We start from the raw sequence: 21,765 nt of genomic DNA, 5'->3' as shown, positions 1-21,765 counted from the left end.
TAGTAACTTAAGATGTCTTTGATCTCAACCAATTATATATGAAAATTGACGTCCTTATGAAGACCTCTTATACACATTTATTTTCAATAACAGAAATTCATAACTAAATATCTCCCCTCCCCACCCCCAAGAGATTTTGCTTGCTAAAAGCCTAGTTAAGATGAAATTTATGGGACTAGTTTATTCTCTGTAGTTTTCTCATTTCCCCCCTCTTAATCTTCTGGTCCTCTGAAGTTTTCCCATTTTTTAACAATAAGATGTTGTGATAGACCTCTGGGGAGTAGGTTGGAGTCAGAGACAAAGTTGAACAGTAGTAGGGGCATCCACACGAGTCCCTACTGTGGGCCTAGTGTAGTGCTAGGTGCTTTACGTACCATAGCTCTAGTTCTCAGAACATCTGGTAGCGATATATTATAGGTTGCATTTACAAAAGAAGAAACTTAGATTGAGAAAATTAAACGACCTACCTAAGGCCACACACCCCTGAAGTACCATATGTGGGTTTCAAATCTAGACTAAACTACTTTCAAAGCTTGTATCTTTCCGTAATTCTAGGTTGTCCATAAATAAAAATAAGTTTTCACTATTTTCTGGCTTAGAGCTGTACAAACAGATAATAATAAGAATGAGGAAATGCCAGATGTGAGAATGGTGTGCCTCAGTTCTGTGGGAGGTCAGAGAAACATAGGTTATCCTAAGTGTCAGAGGAGCTTGTATAGGAACACTTAGCGAAGTTGAGTGGCAGAGGTGCAGTGGAGGAGTAGTGGAACACGAGAGCAGAATGGAAGCTCAGACCCGGTTGTAGGAGGTTTAGAATGCCAGCCTGGAGCACTGAGTCTTTCCCACCTCATTGATTATAGAAGTTTAGTTTACTAAATTATGACAAGATCTAGATGTAACAAGAAGAGTAGAAATGACTTATTTTTTGCCTTCTTGGATTTGCTTTCCAAGACTTTGTTGTAATAAAATTTGAGTACGTTGATAAGCTGGCACTGCTGTAAGGGAAGGTAGGCTCTGGCCTTAGGCGGACACAAGAGAACTAGACACTTGGTGGTTTGTTACATGTTGTGTGAAGTTAATGTCCAGTGACACAGCCTGCATGGTCAGCCAGAAAAGAGATTTGGCTTAGGGCCATGCTGGTATCACAGCGATCTCAGCGTCAGCTCTGATTCCAATTAGGTCTTTACAGAGATTCTTGCATTTAGAGCCATTCTTTTGACAACTAAATCTGTCCATGTGTGCATTTATTAAATGTGTATACTTGGGTCTAATTTTGTATTTGATCCACTTCCAGAGAAATGAATTTATTCATTCATTAAAAATGGATACATTAAAAAAATGTAACTATCAGAGGGCAAAGTGAAAGAAATATCACACCTTTCTTTTTCTGTCTTCCATTTCTTCCTCAGCCCTTTAAAAATATGTTATTTTATCATTCATTTATTAAACATTTTTTATTGCCAGCTAAGCTGCAGGCACTATAGGGGCATATGAAAGGAACTTAATGTCCACTTACTCATCTCTAGCCAAACCATTCTCAATGCCTAACTCTTATTTTCTGTGTTTTTATTCATGTTGTTTCTTCTGCTTAGGTCATCTGTATCAGCGTCTTTCCTTAATCTCCCTGTTTACTTATTCTAAATGTTACCCACCCTTTAAGGTCTGATTTAATATTATTGGGAGATTTGGCATTTAGGTGAAATGTAAAACTCTTCTTTCACAAATACCGGATACTGTTTTTTAAGTAACTTGCTTGTTAGTAATCATTTGACTTTTTGGGCATAGCCTGAGCTGTTCTTTTTAGAGCCAGCCTTCTTTGTCAAATGAGAATTAAAAAAGAAAAATGCGGGAAGCATGTTTCACAGATGGAAGATGAGGTTAATCAATCAAACATATTATCTAAACCATGCAGAATTCCTTTCTAGGGTTGTTGGGGGAATATATTTAACAATAGGTCATGACAGCTGAGCTCTAGACAATTCCTTCTGATCAGCCTTTAATTAATCTAGTGGGGTCTAAGACTTAACTGTATATAGCTAACTATAATACATGACAAAATATGAGAAGTTCTAGAATATAAACATAATCAAGAATGCCTTAAGTCAGGAAAGAGGGAAGTTAGTCTACTTGGAGGGATATGAGGAAAGTCTTATGGAAAACATGACATAGTAATAAGCAGAGATGGGAGCAGGGTAGCCTATTCTGGGCACATGGTACGGTGCATGAGCAAAGGTATGAATACCGGATGTGATCAAAGTATCTCAAACAATGAGTTGTTAGTGGGTAGGAAATAGAAGGAAGTATACAGAGAAAACTGAACAAATAGGTGGGACAAAAATAGTACAGTTATAAGATCATTAGACTATTTTTAGTGAGTTTAAAAACATGATCAGAGCCATGCTTTAGTAAGGTGACAGAAAGTGGTAAGAGTGGATCGAAGGCAATACTGAGGAACAGATCTACATGGCTAGTTGAAGACAAGTGAAAGATTTCAAAGTGTGGTTATTGATTGGTTAGACGAATAGAGTATTACATTCCCCATCTTCTTAAAGCAAAGCCTCCTTTCTTAGGAGGTAACCTAAATTCCAATAATTTCTCCTTTCTTTTATGCTCCTCTTTCCCAAAATAAGAAAATCAAGATAAACTACTTATATCTATATATATCTATATCTAGCTCCGTATATATATATATATATATATAGATATCTCCATATATATGGAGATAGATATAGAAATAAAACAAGCAAAGAAGTTTTTAGTATGGATTGTCAACTTGACATCACTTTTTCAGTGATTTTATCTTTAGCTGGTTACTATATAAAACACTTTTGTCATTGACATGAAAGTTTTTCAAACTTAATTTTTCTCTTTTTCCTTTTTGAGCCACTTGCAGTAGCACTCCTCATTTTGTAGGAGAGAAGTATAATCCCATTTATAAGGTTCACCATCAACAATTATAAATAATTTTAATATATGGCTTTGTGTAGTTCCACAAAAATGTATTTAATATTGGCTTTTTTTAAAAGCAAAATATAATTGTAGGGGAGACGGTTGAGTTATTTGCACACTAAGTGAGAAATTCAGGAAATACTTGAATTTTATTAATCTTCAGAACTAAATAAATGTCTGTATATATGTGTATGTTTATATACATGAATGAATGGAAATGAATGACTTTAATACCAAATCAGTCCTAGCTGCTTGAACCCCCGCCCCCCTCCACTCCCGCCCCCCTCTTTTTTTTTTTTTTTTTTTTTTTGAGATGGGGTCTTGCTCTGTAGCCCAAGCTGGAGTGCAGTGGCATGATTTTGGCTCACTGCAACCTCCTGCCTCCCGGGCCAGGAGAAGTGATTCTCCTGCCTAAGCCTCCCAAGTAGCTGGGATTACAGGTGCACGCCACCAAGCCCGGCTAATTTTTTTGTTAAAAAAACCTCATCTTTTAACAGTATATATGATAATTACATGTTACTCAATAATATTATGGGTAGTTTTTTAAATTAGCTTTTTTTAGAATTATGAAATTAGCACATGTTCACTGTATATTTGAACAATATAAGGATGAATGTTGTAAAAAGTGTAAATACCCAACCGTTCTTCTTGTAAGGTAGAAAAATTACAGTTTGGTATATTACAGATAGGTTCTTTGAAAGCCTGGAAAGAAATCTTTAGCATATCGTGCTGTCAAGATGTCTTTAGCAGAGTCGTTAATACAAGATGACCTTTAGGTTGCTTATAAGTTAAAGACTGCTCTGTCGCCTGCAGTCATGTTTATATGTATGAACATATTTCACCATACTTTTTACAGAGGTTATATTTGGCAAGGATAACAGTAACAGTAAAACAGTTTTGTTTTACTTTTTGTTGCAGCTGATAAAAATTATGATGTGAAGAGTCTGATACTATAAAACTGTCTGGTTATTTCTGTAAGTTTTAAACTGAAATTTATAGCCATACCATGAAGAATATGAAATTCTTAGATGCAGTATAATGTTGCCAAATTATACAAGTAAAGTCAGGTGTTAATATTTATTTTTTTACTATTTGAAATGATAAATGATATCAGAGTTTTAGGACATGGTATCCCTGTCATTTGTAATAGGAAAAGCTAAGAAGCTTGACTATCTTTTCATAGTTTGACTGCAGTGTACACTGGATTAGCCACTCTTATAAGCACAGTTTGCATAATAAATGTTTGTTGAATATTGGTTAAATGGATATGTGTTATCTTCTCTGAGGCAATGGGCCCTGGACTATATTTATTATTCCTATATCTCAGTAGTACCTTCTTAGGCATAGTAGGGCCACCATAAATATTTGAGTAGTTGTTTTTGTTTTACTAGATAAATATTTGGTAGTTTTTTGTGTATACTTAAACTCTTCATGATGAGTTGAGGCTATTTAGAGATTTTTGGTTTTTTACTTTTTTTTTTAATTATTATTTTTGAGACAGAGCCTTGCTCTGTTGCCCAGGCTGGAGTGCAGTGGTGCGATCTTGGCTCACTGCAACTTTCGCCTCCTGGGTTCAAGCAATTTTTGTGCCTCAGCCTCCCAAGAAGCTGGGATTATAGGTGTGGACCACCATGCTCAACTAAGTTTTGTGTTTTTTAGTAGAGATGGGGGTTTCCTCACGTTGGCCAGGCTGGTCTCGAATTCCTGGCCTCAAGCAGTCCCCCCTGCCTTCGTCTCCCAAAGTGCTGGGATTACAAGCGTGAGTCACCATGGTTGGCTATTTAGGGAATTTAATCAAGATTTAAAGCAGGGTGTCCAATCTTTCGGTTTCCCTAGGCCATGCTGAAAGAAGAATTGTCTTGGGCCACATATAACATACACGAACACTAAGGATAACTGATGAGCTTTAAAAAAAAAAAAGGAAAAAACAAAAAACAAACTCAGCTGGGTGCGGTGGCTCACGCCTGTAATCCCAGCACTTTGGGAGGCTGAGGCTGGCAGATCACAAGGTCAGGAGATCGAGACCATCTTGGCCAACATGGTGAAAGCCCATCTCTACTAAAACATAAAAATTAGCTGGGCATGGTGGCACACACCTGTAGTCCCAGCTACTTGGGAGGCTGAGGCAGGAGAATCGCTTGAACCCAGGAGGTGGAGGTTGCAGTGAACCGAGATTGCGCCACTGCATTCCAGCCTGGTGACAGAGCGAGACTCCATCTCAAAAAAACCAACAAAAACAAAAAAATCTCAAAATAGCTCATAATGTTTTAAGAAAGTTTACAAATTTGTGTTGGGCTGCAGTCAAAGCCGTTCTGGGCCTCATGCGGCCCGCGGGCTGTGGGTTCAACAAGCTTGATTTAAAGTCTGTTTGCTAGTGAATTTTAAAAACTTTTTGGGGTCACAAATAGAAAAGAATTTGGTTTATTTGGTTTATTTATTGCAGAGAACCTGGAACATACGATTAAAGCATGCCTCTATGTGTGGGGATTTTTTTTTAAACTTCATGAGGCTTAGACTAAAAATGTGCTTGAGGCCAGGCACAGTGGCTGTCACCTAGATTTAGTTCCAGCGCTTGGGGAGACCAAGGCAGGAGAATTGCTTGAGGCCAGGAGTTCAAGACCAGCCAAGGCTACTTAGCAAGACTCTACAAAAATTTAAAATAAATAAATAAATAAATAAATAAATAAATAAATAAATAAATAGAGTTGAGTGTGGTGCATGTGCCTGTAGTCCTAGCTCCTTGGAGGCTGAGGTGGGAGGATCACTTGCACCCAGGAGTTTGAGGCTGTAGTGAGCTATGATCGCACCACTGCACTCCAGCCTGAATGACAGAGTGAGACCTTGTCTCAAAGAGAAAAGAAAAAAAAGCGCTTGAAGCAACTGCTGAGGAACTGTATGCCATTTATTTTAACAACTGTATAGAAGCAGGAAAGCCTAGAATTTTAGTACTGGAAGGTACTTTTTAGATGAGCTAGGCCAAGCATCCGCCTCCCCTGGGCTCGGTTCCAGAATACCTGTTCTAGGTTGCTTTTCAGCCTGTGATGAGGAAATCTTTGTATGCACACCATGGAGTCCTTTTCTTAAGGATATGTAGTGATGTGCATAGAGATTGAGTATCAGGATTCCTTGTTAAGGATTTCCATCTGCCATTTAGGATTATTATTGGTTTGGTTGACATTGGCATTGCCTTATCAAACAATAGATGGTAGGTGGAAGTTTCGCTACCCTGTTTGGTATGAGGCAGATATTAATTTGTTGTTCTGAAGAAGGTGATGTTGGATAAGCCAGTTTTATTTAAATGGCCATATGAAGAAAATAGGATCATAATGTGAAGTCAGTGTACTGACAACAGAGTATGTGCGTATTTTGTGAGATGCACAGATACACGTAATTACCTTATAAGTGGTATGGGATGAATTAAGTGGAGCAACCATGGGACAGAAACAGTACAAGTGATGCAGTGAAGTGCAACTTGAAGCGGTGTTGTAGCATAAATTTTGATTATTAGATAGCAGATAAGTTAAATTCCTTAGATACGGTAATGTACAGCAGCCAGAGAGAGGTTATTTCATGTTGCTAATTGCATATCAGATTCAGTGCCCAGATGACTTACCTTTTGGGAAAACAAAACCCACTCACTTTTATGGAACATATTCTCTGCCAGAGACACTATTTTAAGCACCTTTACGTGTTATCTCAGTTAATCTTTAAAAATGTTTGCATAAAGTAGTTGGAGTTTCAGAAAATGTACTCTGAATTCATAGTAAAAACTACAGTAGGTCAGCTATTAGTTGTATTAGCCACATTGATTAACCACAAACATGCAGAACTTATATTGAGCATGCTTTGAGCCAAGATTTTATGTTTTGGGGTAAGCTTTTTCTTTAGGGAATTTTTTTGTGAGGAAATAGATTTGGGACAAAGATTCTCAGACCAAACTCAGTTTTGGAATCACCCAGAATTTCAGAAATGGGATCTCAGTTCACTATCAGGGTCGAACTGTTGGGAGCTGGGCCCTTTGGGACAGTGAAGGACAAGAGATGGGGGAAATTTGAGGAGTAGTTGGGCACCACCCTTACTTCTCATCCAAAATTAGGATGTGGACTTTATCGGTGATGGCTGAGTTTCATTTAGTAATGAGGAAAGGTTTTTGTGAAACATTCTTTTAAATGGAATCACATGAGTTAATGGTGTGAGTATTTCAGGGCTGTGAGTTAAGCTGTTGGGGCAGTGAAATAGCAGGAATTTCTCAGCTCAGTCAGAATCCTTTCTTGTGTGCTGTGTATGGAACACAGGGGCAAAGGAAAGGCCAAGCAAAGAGAAACTGCCTGTGTGCCTGTTCTGTGGCTCTGGGTAATCACCTGGCTTCTATTAAGTTCTGTAGTATTGGTGAAATAATTGGGGATTTAAAGGAGGTGAACCAGTGTGTGGTCTCTTTTAGCCAATCCATAACCTTTAAGGTACAAGTTGCTGTGATTTTCTTCTTGGAAATAGTTTTTGTATATTCATTTTTCATGGTTTAGGATCTGTAACTTTAATATCCTGTCTATGAATATGAACAACCTAGTGAGGTCCATCCTTCTCTAGAGATATAAGTAATCTCAATTATTCTTCCTTTCTTGCTTTGCGCTGCAGTTTGTTTTCATAGTGACATGTAGCAAGTAGGATCATTGTTTATATCGGTTAGGCCACAAAAGTCATTTAATGAAAAATTTGATGGAAACATTTTAGAAGGGAGTCCCAGAGAATAACGGAAATGAGTCAGCTCTGAGAGGAAGTATAAATTAATGTGATATCAGCTGCTGTGGACAAGCCGGGAACCTAGCTAATGTACTTAATGTTGTTCCTGTAGCACAACAACTTTCTGGATTCCAAATCGTTGACTTACAATTGAAACTTCAGGACACACCCATTATGAATTGGGATCTAAGTAGACTTTCAAGAAGCAGGAGCATGCTAAATTTCTGTGGCTCTGGTAATCATTCATTCATTCTTTCTTTTTCTCACTTTCCCTCTTTTTTTTTTTTTTTTGAGACAAGGTGTTGCTGTGTCCCCTGGGCTCAAATGATTCACCCCTGCCCTGCCTCGGCCTCCCTGAGTGCTGGGATTACAGGCCTGAGCCACTGTGCCTGGCAGGTGTACTATATTTTGAAAATTTCTTGAGGTCCTTTAGTATCTGTATTTCTTGCCCAAATGTTTATTCTACAGTATGTAAACAGTAAAGAAAATAAACCAAATCTGGGCATTTCATCATCAGTGGTTAGCTACTGATGTAGTTCAGAATTAAGCAGTCAACATCGATTATAGAGTCATTTGGCCGAGAGCAAACCTGTAATTCTTTCTGAAGCCAGCAGACCCTGAGCCCACGAAACTTGTCAGTAGATAAGATAAAACAAAAGTCAGTTTTGAGTTCACCTGTTTGATTTGAATATAAGCAAGAGCTTGGTTGCTTGGAGTTCTAATAATTAACTACACTGTAAGAATAGTTTTAAATTTTAAACGTATAATTCCATCATATTATAATGGTCAATTTAATAAATTTGACTTAACATTGCTTTTAAATTGTGTGTAATGTAAAAGTGTCACTTTATTTTTATGCACACATACATCAATTGTGCATACTTGAACTTAGTAGTAAATAAAGTGAACTTTTTTTTTTACTTTTATTTTTTGGAGACTGGGCCTCACTCTTGTCGTCCAGGCTGGAGTGCTGTGGCGCAATATCGGCCTGCTGCAACCTCTGCCACCCCGGTTCAAGCGATTCTCCTGCCTCAGCCTCCTGAGTAGCTGGGATTACAGGTGTGCACCACTATGCCTGGCTAATTTTTGTATTTTTAGTAGAGATGGGGTTTCACTATGTTGGCCAGGCTGGTCTCGAACTCCTGCCCTCAGGTGAGCCACCTGCTTCGGCCTCCCAGAATGCTAGGATTACAGGTGTGAGCCACTGAGTCTGGCTTTTAATGTCTTTTGTCTTGGATAGGGAACAGCTATAGGACTATTGCTATATGCTTACTTGATAAGAGAAATTAGTTGTTCACAAGTATTTGAGTGCTACTATTTACCAGGCACTGTTTGAAGCTTTGAGAATAAAGTAGTGAAGAAAACAGACTAAAATCTTGGTTCCTGTGGATTTTTAGCTCTGGTAGAGAAGATAGTAAAGAAGTAAACACATAAAATATACCAGATGCTGATTAGTGACATGGAGAAAAATGAAGCAGTGAAGGAGGATGGTTGCTATTTTAAGTAGGGTAGTCAGAGAAAGTCTGATTGGGTGGCATATGAGGTGAGACCTAAAAGAGGTGTGGGGATGGATATCTGTCAGAAGAGCATTTCAGGGAGAGAGAACAGTAAATACAAAGGTCATCGGGTAGAGTATAATTGGTCTGATGAAGGACCAGTATGGCTCAAGTGGTGTGGGCAAGGGGAAGAGCAGTGGGCGTGAAGCTGGGGTAGGGTGTGGGGGACAATTTATGAAGGATGCTAAAGACCAGAGTGGAACCTTTCTCAGAGTTGAGAAGCCATTGAAGGGTTCTGAGCAGACCCAGTTAGCTCATGAGTGAGCTAACTTAACCATTTTAAGGGATTCCTCTAGCTACCACATGGAGAAGACACTGGGTTGGGGAGAGCCAGCACAGAAGCAGAGGTCCCACGGGAGGCTATTGTCATGATCCAGGTTGATGATGGGGACGGCTTCCACCAGAGTCCCTGTGGTGAGGGTGGTGAGAAGTGCTCACGTTCTAGATATCATTCTGAAGGTAGAGCTGGCTACCTGGATGTAGACTGTCAAGAGAGTTAGGATAAAGCAAAAATTTCAATACATTTATAGAAAACTGCCAACACTTTGGCACTGCTCAATTATTTTATTTATAGAAATAATAATTTTAAAAATCTGGATACAAAGGAATAATTGTATTTGCATATTTTGTTACTGTGTTTTCAGTTCGTTTTGTATATTTTATATATGAAGCTATCTGTGTAACCCTATTTCTGGGTCAGATTTCTATATATGAAAAAAATCAACTTCAGGATTATAATACAGTGTACTGCTGCTGCCACCTAATGTTTATAGCCCTTCATTTATATAATTACAATAACTAGTTATGCATAGCTTTAATATTGGTTTGAATACAGAATGTTAACAGATTAATTGTGGCTTATTTAATTGCCTTCATATTAGGTACCTAGTATGGATATTTAATATGATAACTGAATTGCCTTGTCATAAGGTTGTGGTTTGAAGGTTAATTTTATTGGCATCTTGATCTCTGTGTTGAATTCAGTTCAACACATATTTATTTGTTGTGCTTAGCCCTGTGTGTCTCTTTGCTCTCACGATTAGAGACAGATTTTAAAAAATCCACACATTTAAACAAATAATGAAATAATTACCAGTTGAAGGAAACAAACAGCACAACAGACATAGCTGCCCCTTTGGACAAGGAATTTATAGTCTAACAAAGCAGATGAGTATTTAGAAATTAATTAGATTAAATGTGATGACTATCATTTCAGCCACTTTTCCTACAGAGTAGGATGGACTTTAGTTAGAAGCCTCCCTAAGATAAATTCAGTTGTTGCAAGACCTGATGTTAGTAATGCGATAATTTGTAAGTCGATGCTGAATCAGTTTCTGCTCCAGAGAGATTTAACTTTAGGGATGACTGATTGTTGTTGAAAGTTTTGTTTTCAAACCAGTTTTTGTAATTACGTACTTTTCTGGGTCCTTTTTGTAGTTAGACTTGGATGTGATGATTTGCTTCCTCTAACATGTTCCTTTCCCGGTAGCTGCTCTGTTTAAAAACCTTAGAGATAGCAACATTTCATGAGAGATGAAATAATTTTTGTTTGTATCTATATATGTGTGTGGGTACACATATATGTACATATCTGTAAAACATCCTCATTTGTCACTGTGTAACTAGAGCTCTAAAAATACTGCTAGAACAAACAGTAACACTGGTAATGAATCCTGAAGATAGATTCAATAGTCATTGAATGTTTAATGTATCCCAGGACACACATTTTGTGAACTGAGGATATAACCTTGAAACAAACAGGCAAATCTTTACCTTCATTAAACTTACACTCTAATTGGGAATGGGATGAGGAGGTAGACAATAATCACGCATAAATATTAAGTATGTTACATGGTAGTAAATGCTCTGGAAGAAAATAAAGCAGGATAATGAGAATAGAGCATGCTGGGAAAGGGGGGGAGTATGTTTTTGTTCACTTTATGCAGATTTTTCTTTGTGACAATTTTGTTCCTAGGTGAGTTATAAAAAGAAAGTATACTCTTAAAATAGTTTTAAAGGTCCTGTCTGCCTTTGGAAACTGTGTTAGTTGGCATTCATCTATTTATCCAGCAATTTTTTTTTTTTTTTTTTTTTTGAGATGGAGTTTTGGTTTTGTTGCCCAGGCTGCAGCGCAGTGGCACAATCTCAGCTCACTGCAACCTCCGCCTCCCTGGTTCAAGTGATTCTCTTGCCTCAGCCTCCTGAGTAGCTGGGATTATAGGTGTGTGCTGCCATGCCTGGCTAAATTTTGTATTTTTAGTAGAGATGGGGTTTCACCATGTTGGCCAGGCTGGCTTCGAACTCCTGACCTCAGGAGTACTGGCATTACAGACGTGAGCCACCACACGCGGCCTATCCAGCAAATATTTAAAGCACACTCAGCAAGCATATTGTTAATACCGTTTGCTAGGTACTATGTGCGACAAAAGAGATAAACGACATATTCTCTACCCTTGAGTTTAAAATCAGATTGGGAAAATATTTTTTATAATAATATTTTATGGTAACTGTAAGAGGGTCATTTATCCTTTTTCTTAAATGAAGGTAAGTGTAAAAACATTTTTAAAGCTTTGATGTTAGGTGACAAAACATTTCAATTTTGAACTGGGATCACTTGGCGGATTTATAATACTGACCCCTGAAAGGCAGTATTTTCTCTAGAGAATGTGATACCCTTCTTTGAAAAAAGAAGAATCTGCATTATAATGCATTGTTTCCAGGTGAGTGTAATTTAGCGAACCTATAAGTTTTCATCAATCATCATTGAATTGCTGTGTGTTTTATCTTTTAGTTTATGCAACAGTGACATATAGGACACTGTATAAAGTTTACTTTTTTCAAACCGTGAAATGTTGGCATAGTTAAGATTTGAGACGCATACTCTGTGATGTTCTTGACTCAGGGGGTCTTTGCTTAGCAGTGTGAGGGCTTGGCATATAAGTGCATTTATGTTTTTCTAGTGAAAGTTCAGTGTCTCATCTACAGTCCAGTCTCTTCTTGACCACTTTTATTAAAACAAAGGTGGTAATCATTGTGGATTCAGAAATTCCAGGAATATGTCTCAACTATGTTAGGTTTCATGGTGTCCTTCATTAACCAAATGTGTGAATCACCCTGAATTTAAGCAGTTACTAGTCAAATAGGCACTTAAGGGAGGTTTGATTTGAAATCACTTTTTTCTTCCCTTTCATCTTAAATACTAAAGAGAACATCCCAAGTCAGAGATTTTAGTTATCTTAAAACACTTTGAACTTTACTGGCTTAGAATGATTGGTTAAACACAATGAAACAAAAAATGCTGCAGAATAAAGTGTTCACACATTTCACTGTCAATGACTAACATTTGCTTAGAATTTTCTGTTAGGTCACAATATTGCAGATGTTTTTTGAGGAATTATGACTTGACCAAGGTCAGACATGTGTTAATTGAGCTTCCCCAGATTTGTCCTGATGGCCACAAACAAGTCTGTGGGAAGACAGCAGCAGCTTAATTTACCACCCACCTTACTGAATCATAAAACTCTAGAGCTAGATGGAACCCATAAAAAGACGCTGTAGCTTTGTGAGCATTCCAGCTTGGCCGCTGCTTCCCTTGCAGAAAAGAACATTGAGAGAGAATTCCAGGGACCACCCAAGAGGTCTTCAGTTCTTTCACTTTCTTTACAGCTTCAATGTTGTTACCACCCTTCCCTGTCCTGTACTCCAGTCCCTGTACGTAACAGCAACAAACCCTGATATGTAAAAAGTCCTTGAAAATTATTGAAATTAAAATTTTTTTCTCCTAAGTCTAGGCTTTAAATACCTAAACAATAGGGCTATGTTTTATAAAATTTATTTTGTAGAGTATTTAGATCCTTCTAGATTTTAACAAATATAGAATTGAAATAATGGGTTTTAAAAATTTATGTCAGGCCGGGCGTGGTGGCTCACGCCTGCAATCCCAGCACTTTGGGAGGCTGAGGCGGGCGGATTGCCTGAGGTCAGGAGTTCGAGACCAGCCTGGCCAACATGGTAAAACCCTGTCTCTACTAAAAATACAAAATTAGCCGGATGTAGTGGCAGGCGCCTGTAATCCCAGCTACTCGGGAGGCTGAGGCAGGAGAATTGCTTGAACCTGGGAGGCGGAGGTTGCAGTGAGCTGAGATCGCACCATTGCACTCCAGCCTGGGCAACAAGAGCAAAACTCCATCTCAAAAAAAAAAAAAAAAAAAAATTACCTCATTATAAAGGTATAAAAGTAACAAGCATTTATTGAGCTCTTACTGTTTCCAAGGTACAACACCGTATTTTTTAGACAAGTTTATACAAGTTGTCTGTATTCTCAGAAATACCATAGTCTAGATGGAGGCAAAATAACGCTGGGTGCAGTCTGCTGCTTAATCTTCAATATAAGAATATACTTGGAAAGCTTGTTAATAGATTCCAAAGCCTGTTTCCCTGGGATTTTAATGTCACTTGGAGTACCTCATAATTTATGAGTACTTCAAAATTATGAGTACCTCATAATTTTTACCCAGCTTTCACATCCTCTGTGATTCTGAAACCCCGTGAGTTTCCAAAGGCCCATACTTTGTTTAATACTGGTGTTACAAAGCAGACCAGAGTTTTCTGTTTCTAGCTCATTCATTTGTTATCTTTTTGGCCTTGAGAAAATTACATAATTCCTGTTACTTGATTTCTATATCTGTAAAGTGGAGATTATATTTGTCTACCTCATAAGAGTATTATGGAGGTGAATTATGTTATTGGAACACAAATTATCACTGAGTAATTGATAGCTACTGCCATTGTTGTCCTCATCTTTATCATACCACCACCACTACTTCCATTATCACTACATCATCATTCATCTTAGTGACAAGAAGGATGCACAAAATAGCGAACAATGTCAAGCAGCAGGTGTAGGAATGGCATAGACAATATCTGGTAGTTTAGAGATGCTCAAAATTTGGGCTGCAGTGGCCTGAGATGTTCATACAGGGAATGAAGAATGAAAAGGATTTAGCCATGTAAAGACAGAGTTGGAAGGAGAAGACTATTCCAACACAGAATTATTTCAAAATAACTTATTTTTGGTTTTTAAATTTTTACTGATGATTTACCTCAATTGTCTTCTGTTTATGTTAACTTAAAATAATTGGTGTGGTTCACCTAGGATCTCAAGTTTATTCAGGAAAATCAAATGTTCATGAAAGTGTGCATGTAATATGTGTTACTATGTTGTGAAGGTCACCAGTTTATGTTCACTCTTATTAATGTAAACACTTGATTATATTATGCTTCTAGCTACTATATGATTATAAAACTGAAATGGTTTTATAGGTTAAATATAATCAAAACTATAGCTGATAAAAATACAGATTAAGAGCATAATATTATATGCCACCTGATGTTTACTTGAACGCAGGTTTCTGTTCATAGCAAAAATTTGGTACTGACTTCTTAGAAACAAATCTGTTTAATTTTGGCTTGCCTGTTCTGTGGATGGTGTGATGACTCAAGTCTTCCACCATTTCCTCTTGTTTGAAATGCTGTAAAACTTTAGCATAACTTACTGTGGCTTCATTTGGCGTGAATGCATCGTTCTTTCTCTCTCTCTCCCTCTCTCTCATACACACACACATACACACTTATTTTTTGGTCTGTGTTCTCTTCTCATTAGCCTTGAGATTGTGTGGTGATACTCAGTTATGAGAAGATCATTCTGATGAGCACAAATAAGCATTAATTTTAAGCTTAAGGATTTTCTAGAGCCCCAATTTGAGAAACACTTATTTGCATGGTAGATATGAAGGGACCATAGCACTTAGTTCAGTTTCCTCATTAAACATCAAGAGACACAACAACAGCCAAAAGAATCTTTGAGGCCGGGTGCAGTGGCTCACGCCTGTAATCCCAGCACTTTGGAAGGCCGAGGCAGGTGGATCATGAGGTCAGAAATTCAAGACCAGCCTGGCCAAGATGGTGAAACTCCATCTCTACTAAAAATACAAAAATTAGCCGGGCATGGTGGCGGGTGCCTGTAATCCCAGCTACTCGGGAGGCTGAGGCAGAGAATTGTTTGAACCCAGGAGGCGGAGGTTGCAGTGAGCCGAGATCGTGCCACTGCACTCCAGCCTGGGCAACAGAGTGAGACTCTGTCCACCAAAAAAAAAAAAAAAAGGGAATCTTTGAAAAACAGCCCCACTTGAAGCAGCACAGTGGCTTCTGTGTATACTGAACATAGTTTCTGGATAACTCATCAAGGATCACAAAACTGATCAGCTAGCCTTTGTGTATCTGATTGACTTATACTAAAGTTTCTTCCTGCTTTAGGGACATGTACTTGCTCCTCTCCCTATTTGAATAGCTATTCCTTCATCTCACGAGCCTGGTTCCTTGATAGCATTAGGTCTTAGAACAAATACTACTTCCTTATATTATAGTGTGATCTTACCACTTGCTCCAGTTATCCTTTGCTGTGTAACAAACCACCCCAAATTTGGTGGCATAAAATGGCAACCATTTCATTATGTTCACAGGTTCTTTAGGTCAAGAATTTGGAAAGGGCATAATAGATATGGTTTGTTTCAGCACTGTGATGTCTCGACCTTCAGCTGGCAAAGCTAGTATAATTGAATGGCTGGGTGCCAAGATCATCTGGAGGCCTTTTTATTCACATTTGTGACTCATGTGAGGGCATGGATGAGCTAGGATTGTTGACTGGAGTCCCTACAAGTAGCCTTTCCATGTAACTTAGGCTTCCTTTCAGCATAGTGGCCTCAGAGGAGTTAGATTTATTACTCAGGACTTTCAGAGCGAGTGTTCCAGTGAATGAGATGGAAGCTTGCATGGCTTTTCTAACCTACCCATAGAGATTATGTGTTGTCACTTGCTTTTTTGTTTGTTTGTTTGTTTGAGACGGGGTCTCGCTCTGTTGCCTAGGCTGGAGTACAGTGGCACAATCTCAGCTCACTGCAACCTCTGCCTCCCAGGCTCAAGTGATTCTCCTGTCTCAGCCTCCCTAGTAGCTGGGGCTACAAGCACATGCCACCACACCCGGATAATTTTTTGTATTTTTAGTAGCGGCAGGGTTTCACAGTGTTAGCCAGGATGGTCTCCATCTCCTGACCTCGTGATCCGCCTGCCTCAGTCTCCCAAAGTGCTGGGGTTACAGGTGTGAGCCACTGCGCCCGGCCACATGGTGTTGCTTTCATCCTACTCCTTCCTTGAAGCAACCATAAATCCTATTTTTTAAGGGAAAGAAATACAGGCCTTACCTCTCAGTGGGAGGAGTGTCAGACACTTGGGGTCTTGTTTTAAAACTGGCGTATCATCGTAAATAGCATAACATGGTTAACATGGGTTAAAAGACATGTTGTCTTTTAGGTAAATAAGGTAAAAGACTTAATTGCATTTAACTTGCATTTAACAGGGGTTTGAATAATTTTATATAAGTAAAATTATTACTCTCTGCCTCTCTCAACTAAAATGAAAGTTTTATGAAAAATCTGTTCACTGCTGAATTTTCAGCCCCTATAATAGTGCCTAAGATATCATATCCATTCACTTGCTGAATGAATAGATACATGAATTAAAATTCAGCCACATAGCCAGTTTGCTTCACCGCTGAGACCGTCCTAGTACCCTGTTATATCACCAGGGTTCTCATAAAAATTTTCTTATTAATATGTAATATAAATTGTAAATTCAGCATTTCATTTCACTGAATCTGTATCTTTTTGTTCATAATGTGCTTTCTAAAATGAAATCGGGTGCCTTTGAAATTTAGTTCGTCTCTCAGTATACTGCTTCTACCTTAATGATTTATCATCCAACACTAATCATCCAGATTATGTTACTGCAAAACTAGTGTGAAGTACAATAATTTTGTTTTTGTGAATGAGTTATGAATCTACTCTGCCTGGGACAGTGGTTGCACTGGATGTATATCATCTAATATCAAAACTCAGTAGCAAAAAACAGTTTATTTTATTATGCCTATGGACTCTGTGGGTCAGAACTTAAGACAGGGCACAATAGGGACCAGTAGTTTTTGCTCCAGGATGTCTGAGGGCTCCACTGGAAGGGCTCCAAGACTGCAGTCTTTCTGTCAGGCTGGGGGCTGATTGCCTCGGGAGGTGTTTTTATTCACATAGCTGGTGGTCGATGCTGGTTTTTGGCTGAGATGTCAGCTGAGACAGTTGGCCAGAAGAACTACATGTGGCTGCTCCGTGTGGACTAGGTTTCCTCACAGCAGGGTGGTTGCACTCCAAAAGTGATCTTCCTGAGTGCAGATGTGGAGACTATCAGTTTCTTATGCTCTGGACTTGGAGACTAACATACAGTCACTTCGGCCATATTTTGTTTGTTGAGGCAGTTACAAAGAGCTACCCAGATCCAGGGGAGGGAATATTGATCCTATCACTTGATAGGAAGACTGATAGTGTCGCACTGTAAGAAAAGGCATGTAATATGGGATATATTGTGAGCTATCTTTGGAAAATATTGTTTGTCAGATGGGGCGAACTGTGGGCTCAGGGGCCTGCCTGCCTATATCTAGGGGCCTCACATGAGTTACCATGGTCCTAGAGCCCGTTAAGACCAGCTTCTGAGCAGAACCAAGAGTTACAGTACCAGCCTGGTCTACCGTCATGCTGAATTGAGCTCTTCTTCAGGCACAGGCTGTTTCCAGATTGTTAGCACTTCCTGTTGCTCCTCTTAACATTAAGAGTCCTACAGGTAGAAGAAAACTCAATATTGGACTTTTAGGCAATGTTGACTCACAGGGAAAGTGTTGCAAGAGAAAGTACTGTGTTTTGTGAGTACAGTTTGGAAATTTTAAACTCAAGTCTGCTCACATAGTAAAAAGAAAACAAACTCTGGTGAGATTGGTTCTCATTTTTTTGAACAGTGCTATTGGCTTTTACTAGTTGGAGATAATTGTGCCCATTCACTCATTTTCCTTCTATCGAATGGTCAAAGATTCTTCTCTTTATGCCTGGTGTTATCAGTAGTAAATCAAACTTATAGTTTTCAAATATTATTAGTTTTATTTTTTCCTAACAAGGGAATTGCAACTGTGCAGCAAGTGATACCGTTTCATTCCCTGCAGTTAGTCTGTTTTTCCTCTTTCTTCCTTTCCTCCCCTTCGCCTTCCTTTTTGTTTTTTTTTGAGACAGAGTCTCGCTTTGTCACCCAGGCTGGAGTGCAGTGTCGGCTCACTGCAGCCTCTGCCTCCCTGTTTCAAGTGATTCTCCTGCCTCAGTCTCCTGAATAACTGGGATTACAGGCACACACCACCACACCCGGCTAATTTTTGTATTTTTAGTAGAGACAGGGTTTCGCCATGTTGGCCAGTCTGGTCTCGAACTCCTGACCCCAAAGATCCACCCACCTCGGCCTCCCAAAGTGTTGGGATTACAGATGTGAGCCCCTGCACCCGACCTGTTTCTTCCCTTTCTTTTCACCTTGTAGCTCAGAATTAGCATATAGTGAAATTGCAAGGGAAAAAAAAAAGCAAGTAGAAAAGAGAAGAAAATCACATTTCCATGTGGAAATAGCATACTTAGTTTGAGTGTAGGACATTTACTCCAAATGCTAATGTTTTGTAGTATCCGATAATATTTTAAAAGAGATTTTGTGCTTTAGACTTAGAGAATGGTATTACAGTAGAGTTGCTGCAAAAATGACAAACTAATCCTCTGCCCAGTAATTTGAGTACATGTGGCAGGTCCCAGAGATGTGCCAGTAAAATAATGTGCTAGTATTTTATTTGGTACTGATTTTTTTTTTTTTTTTTTTTTTGAGACGAAGTATTGCTCTCTTGCCCAGGCTGGAGTGCAATGCCACGATCTCGGCTCACTGCAGTCTCTGCCTCTCAGGTTCAAGTGATTCTTCACCTGAGCCTCCTGAGTAGCTGGGATTACAGGCACCTGCCGTCATGACCTGCTAATTTTTTTTGTACTTTTGTAGAGACGGGGTTTCACAGTGTTGGCCAGGCTGATCTCGAACTCCTGACCTCAGGTGATCCGCCCGCCTTGGCCTCCCACAGTGTTGGGATTACAGGCATGAGCCACCGCACCTGGCGTTTTTCTTTTTTTTGAGATGGAGTTGCGCTCTGCCACCCAGGTTGGAGTGCAGTGGCGTGATCTCGGCTCACTGCAACCTCTGGCCACCTAGGCTCAAGTGATTCTCCCACCTTAGCCTTCTGAGTAAGCTGAGACTACAGGCGTGTGCCACCACTCCCAGCTAACTTTTTTGTATTTCTGGTAGAGATAAGGTTTTGCCATGTTGCCCAGGCTGGTCTTGAGCTCCTGAGCTGAAGCGATCTGCCTTCCTTGGCCTCCCAAAGTGCTGGGATTACAGGTGTGCCCAGCCTTGGTACTGCTATTTCTAAAATGTGATTGCAATGGGATTTTGAATGATACATGCACACAAAAACATATGTATATACATAAATGTGAAGGTTCTTTTTTAACCAGAACCTAAAACCTAGAGAGTTTCATCGTAACGTCTGTTAAAGATGACAGTTCTGGACATTGTGCCCAGCGTAATGCAGAGTTTATTTGATGAGGATTTGAGAAGGAAGTACCTTTAGTATCATTTGTACACAGTGTTGTGGCAGAGCTGTGAATTTTTTTCTGTTTTGCAAAGAGAAGTAAGCATACTTATGCTGGTTAATGGAGGTTGCCTTTCCAATTTGCTGTGCAACCTGGTGAACAGTTTGCGTGCTGAATCTTGATACAGCCTTTCCTCTGTTTAGTATTATAATATGTGCTTAGCTGGCACATACAATATGGATTATGTTTGATTATTTTGTGTATAATTTCCATAAATAAACAATCTCCTTTCCTTATAATCCTTCCTTTCTCTCCAAAATAAGCATTAGAATTGAACTAGTGGAACTTTAGACTGTCTTCTTCAGTGGTTCTCAACAGGAGAGATTTTTTACCCCCCAGAGGACATTTGGCAATGGTTGGAGACATTTTTTGGTTGTTGTAACTTCAGATTGTGAAGCCTGAAAACCAAGCCCACAATGTATACTTTTAAAATATACATGTATTTTTCTATGTTAACCTGCTTATAAAACTTTAATAAAACATACATTGTTCAAAGCTTTTTCATGTGTGTTTAAGTGAAAATGTCACTTTGAACATAAGATATACTTGTTCCTTCCTGTTTATTTTTCTAGTTAATTCTTAGCTTGCTCAGTTTTAAGGTTTTTTTTTTTTAAATGGCTTAGATACTTGTTCAGAGCTTATATTGTACAATAATCCACATATATTCAACACCTACAGGCTGTTAGAGGACTGCATGCAGCTACTTACTGAATGCCAGTATTGCTTGCATTGTCTGTTGTAGAACTTCTGTAGTCACTAAATTATCAGTCCCCATACAGTACATCACAGGAAGTTGGCAGATACAATGATCCATCTGTTATCACACCCATCAAGTGCATTGGCTTGAAGGGAAAAGGCTGCAGATTGGAGCTCAGTGTGTGAGAGAAGTGAGATTCCAAGATGCTTATCATTCTTTCCAGAAAGTCCTTTTTGGCCTTTTGTCAAGCTTGACTTGCTCATTTCTAAAACAGCCTTTCAGTTTATGATACCGTTACCTTTTCATTAATATTTTTGGAAAAACTAGACATGTTGTCAGAGATGCTTATTTTTCTTGAATGAGGTTTTAGGGTATCAGCTTTTCTTTCCCCTCCTAGCGGGTGGCTGTGGGGAATTCTTGGTCAGATTGTCATAGAAAATGAGCAGTGGAAAATTGAAGCTGCACAATCTGGAGAGTTTTATTTTTAAAATAGTCATTCTTAACCTGAACTAAAGTAAAGCAAGTATAAAACATTTTTATGTTATTCCAGTGTGGCCAAGATTTTTTTTCTTAAATTTATACAAGTATGATCACTTTCAAAGGAGAGTATGATTTTCATAGTTAATCAAAAATGTTTAGGCAGTTTTTTGTGAGTTTAAGAAACCTGTTGGTTTCCTGGAAAGTCATGAATGTTTATGATATCAAGGGTCTGTTATAGAGCCTCTGAGATCTTTTAGACAAAAGCATTGATGCTGTTCTTAATGGCACTTTGAAGTTTTGGTGACTACTCTTGAGGTAAATGGATATGTGCTGATCATTTCATTCTTTCTTTCTTTCTTTCTTTCTTTTTTTTTTTTTTGAGACTGAGTCTCACTCTGTTGCCCAGGCTGGAGTGCCGTGGCACGATCTCGGCTCACTACAACCTCCACCTCCCTGTTTCAAGTGATTCTCCTGCCTCAGCCTCCAGAGTAGCTGAGACTACAGGCACGCGCCACCATGTACAGCTAATTTTTGTATTTTTAGTAGAGATGGGGTTTCACTATGTTGGCCAGGCTGGTCTCGAACTCCTGACCTTGGGTGATCCGCCCACCTTGGCCTCCCAGAGTGCTGGGATTACAGGCGTGAGCCACCGTGCCCGGCCTGTGCTGATCATTTCTATCTTGTGAATAGTCTTATTTATACAGAGCTGCTCCCTTGCCAAGGCGTAATGTCTGGTTTGGGT

The 21,765-nt window shown here is 39.0% G+C and overlaps 1 protein-coding gene and 1 non-coding gene across 7 annotated transcripts in view, besides 5 other annotated features; both read left to right on the top strand.

Moving 5' to 3' along the window:
* The window catches only part of MED13L (mediator complex subunit 13L), a 319,118-nt gene that overhangs the window by 126,383 nt on the left and 170,970 nt on the right, over nucleotides 1-21,765 (top strand). The gene's annotated exons all lie outside the window — the stretch shown is intronic.
* MIR620 (microRNA 620) lies at nucleotides 2,657-2,751 on the top strand. Its single transcript, NR_030351.1, has one exon. It is a non-coding gene; the product is annotated as a microRNA 620 (primary transcript).
* Nucleotides 8,753-8,897: an enhancer, noted in NCBI's record as "145 bp 12:116580291 sequence used in MPRA reporter constructs". NCBI's record gives its function as "activates a minimal TATA-containing promoter with rs113469387 allelic activity by MPRAs in UACC903 melanoma cells {active_cell/tissue: UACC903}" and the evidence as "EXISTENCE:reporter gene assay evidence [ECO:0000049][PMID:36423637]".
* Nucleotide 8,825: a transcriptional cis regulatory region, noted in NCBI's record as "rs113469387 or 12:116580291 MPRA-significant variant associated with a GWAS melanoma risk locus at 12q24.21". NCBI's record gives its function as "allelic transcriptional activity by MPRAs in UACC903 melanoma cells {active_cell/tissue: UACC903}" and the evidence as "EXISTENCE:reporter gene assay evidence [ECO:0000049][PMID:36423637]".
* Nucleotides 18,806-19,305: an enhancer, noted in NCBI's record as "H3K4me1 hESC enhancer chr12:116569811-116570310 (GRCh37/hg19 assembly coordinates)". NCBI's record gives its function as "activates a minimal SCP1, AML or CMV promoter by ChIP-STARR-seq in naive H9 embryonic stem cells {active_cell/tissue: H9 hESC(naive)}" and the evidence as "EXISTENCE:reporter gene assay evidence [ECO:0000049][PMID:30033119]".
* Nucleotides 19,306-19,807: an enhancer, noted in NCBI's record as "H3K4me1 hESC enhancer chr12:116569309-116569810 (GRCh37/hg19 assembly coordinates)". NCBI's record gives its function as "activates a minimal SCP1, AML or CMV promoter by ChIP-STARR-seq in naive H9 embryonic stem cells {active_cell/tissue: H9 hESC(naive)}" and the evidence as "EXISTENCE:reporter gene assay evidence [ECO:0000049][PMID:30033119]".
* Nucleotides 20,513-20,807: a silencer, noted in NCBI's record as "tiled region #5057; HepG2 Repressive non-DNase unmatched - State 7:EnhWF, and K562 Repressive DNase matched - State 8:EnhW". NCBI's record gives its function as "represses a minimal TATA promoter and a strong SV40 promoter by Sharpr-MPRA in HepG2 and K562 cells {active_cell/tissue: HepG2 | K562}" and the evidence as "EXISTENCE:reporter gene assay evidence [ECO:0000049][PMID:27701403]".

The sequence above is a fragment of the Homo sapiens genome, chromosome 12, assembly GCF_000001405.40.
Source record: "Homo sapiens chromosome 12, GRCh38.p14 Primary Assembly".
NCBI lineage: Eukaryota > Metazoa > Chordata > Mammalia > Primates > Hominidae > Homo > Homo sapiens.
Note: the sequence above shows the minus strand (reverse complement) of the source record. Positions and strands in the feature narration are given on the sequence as shown.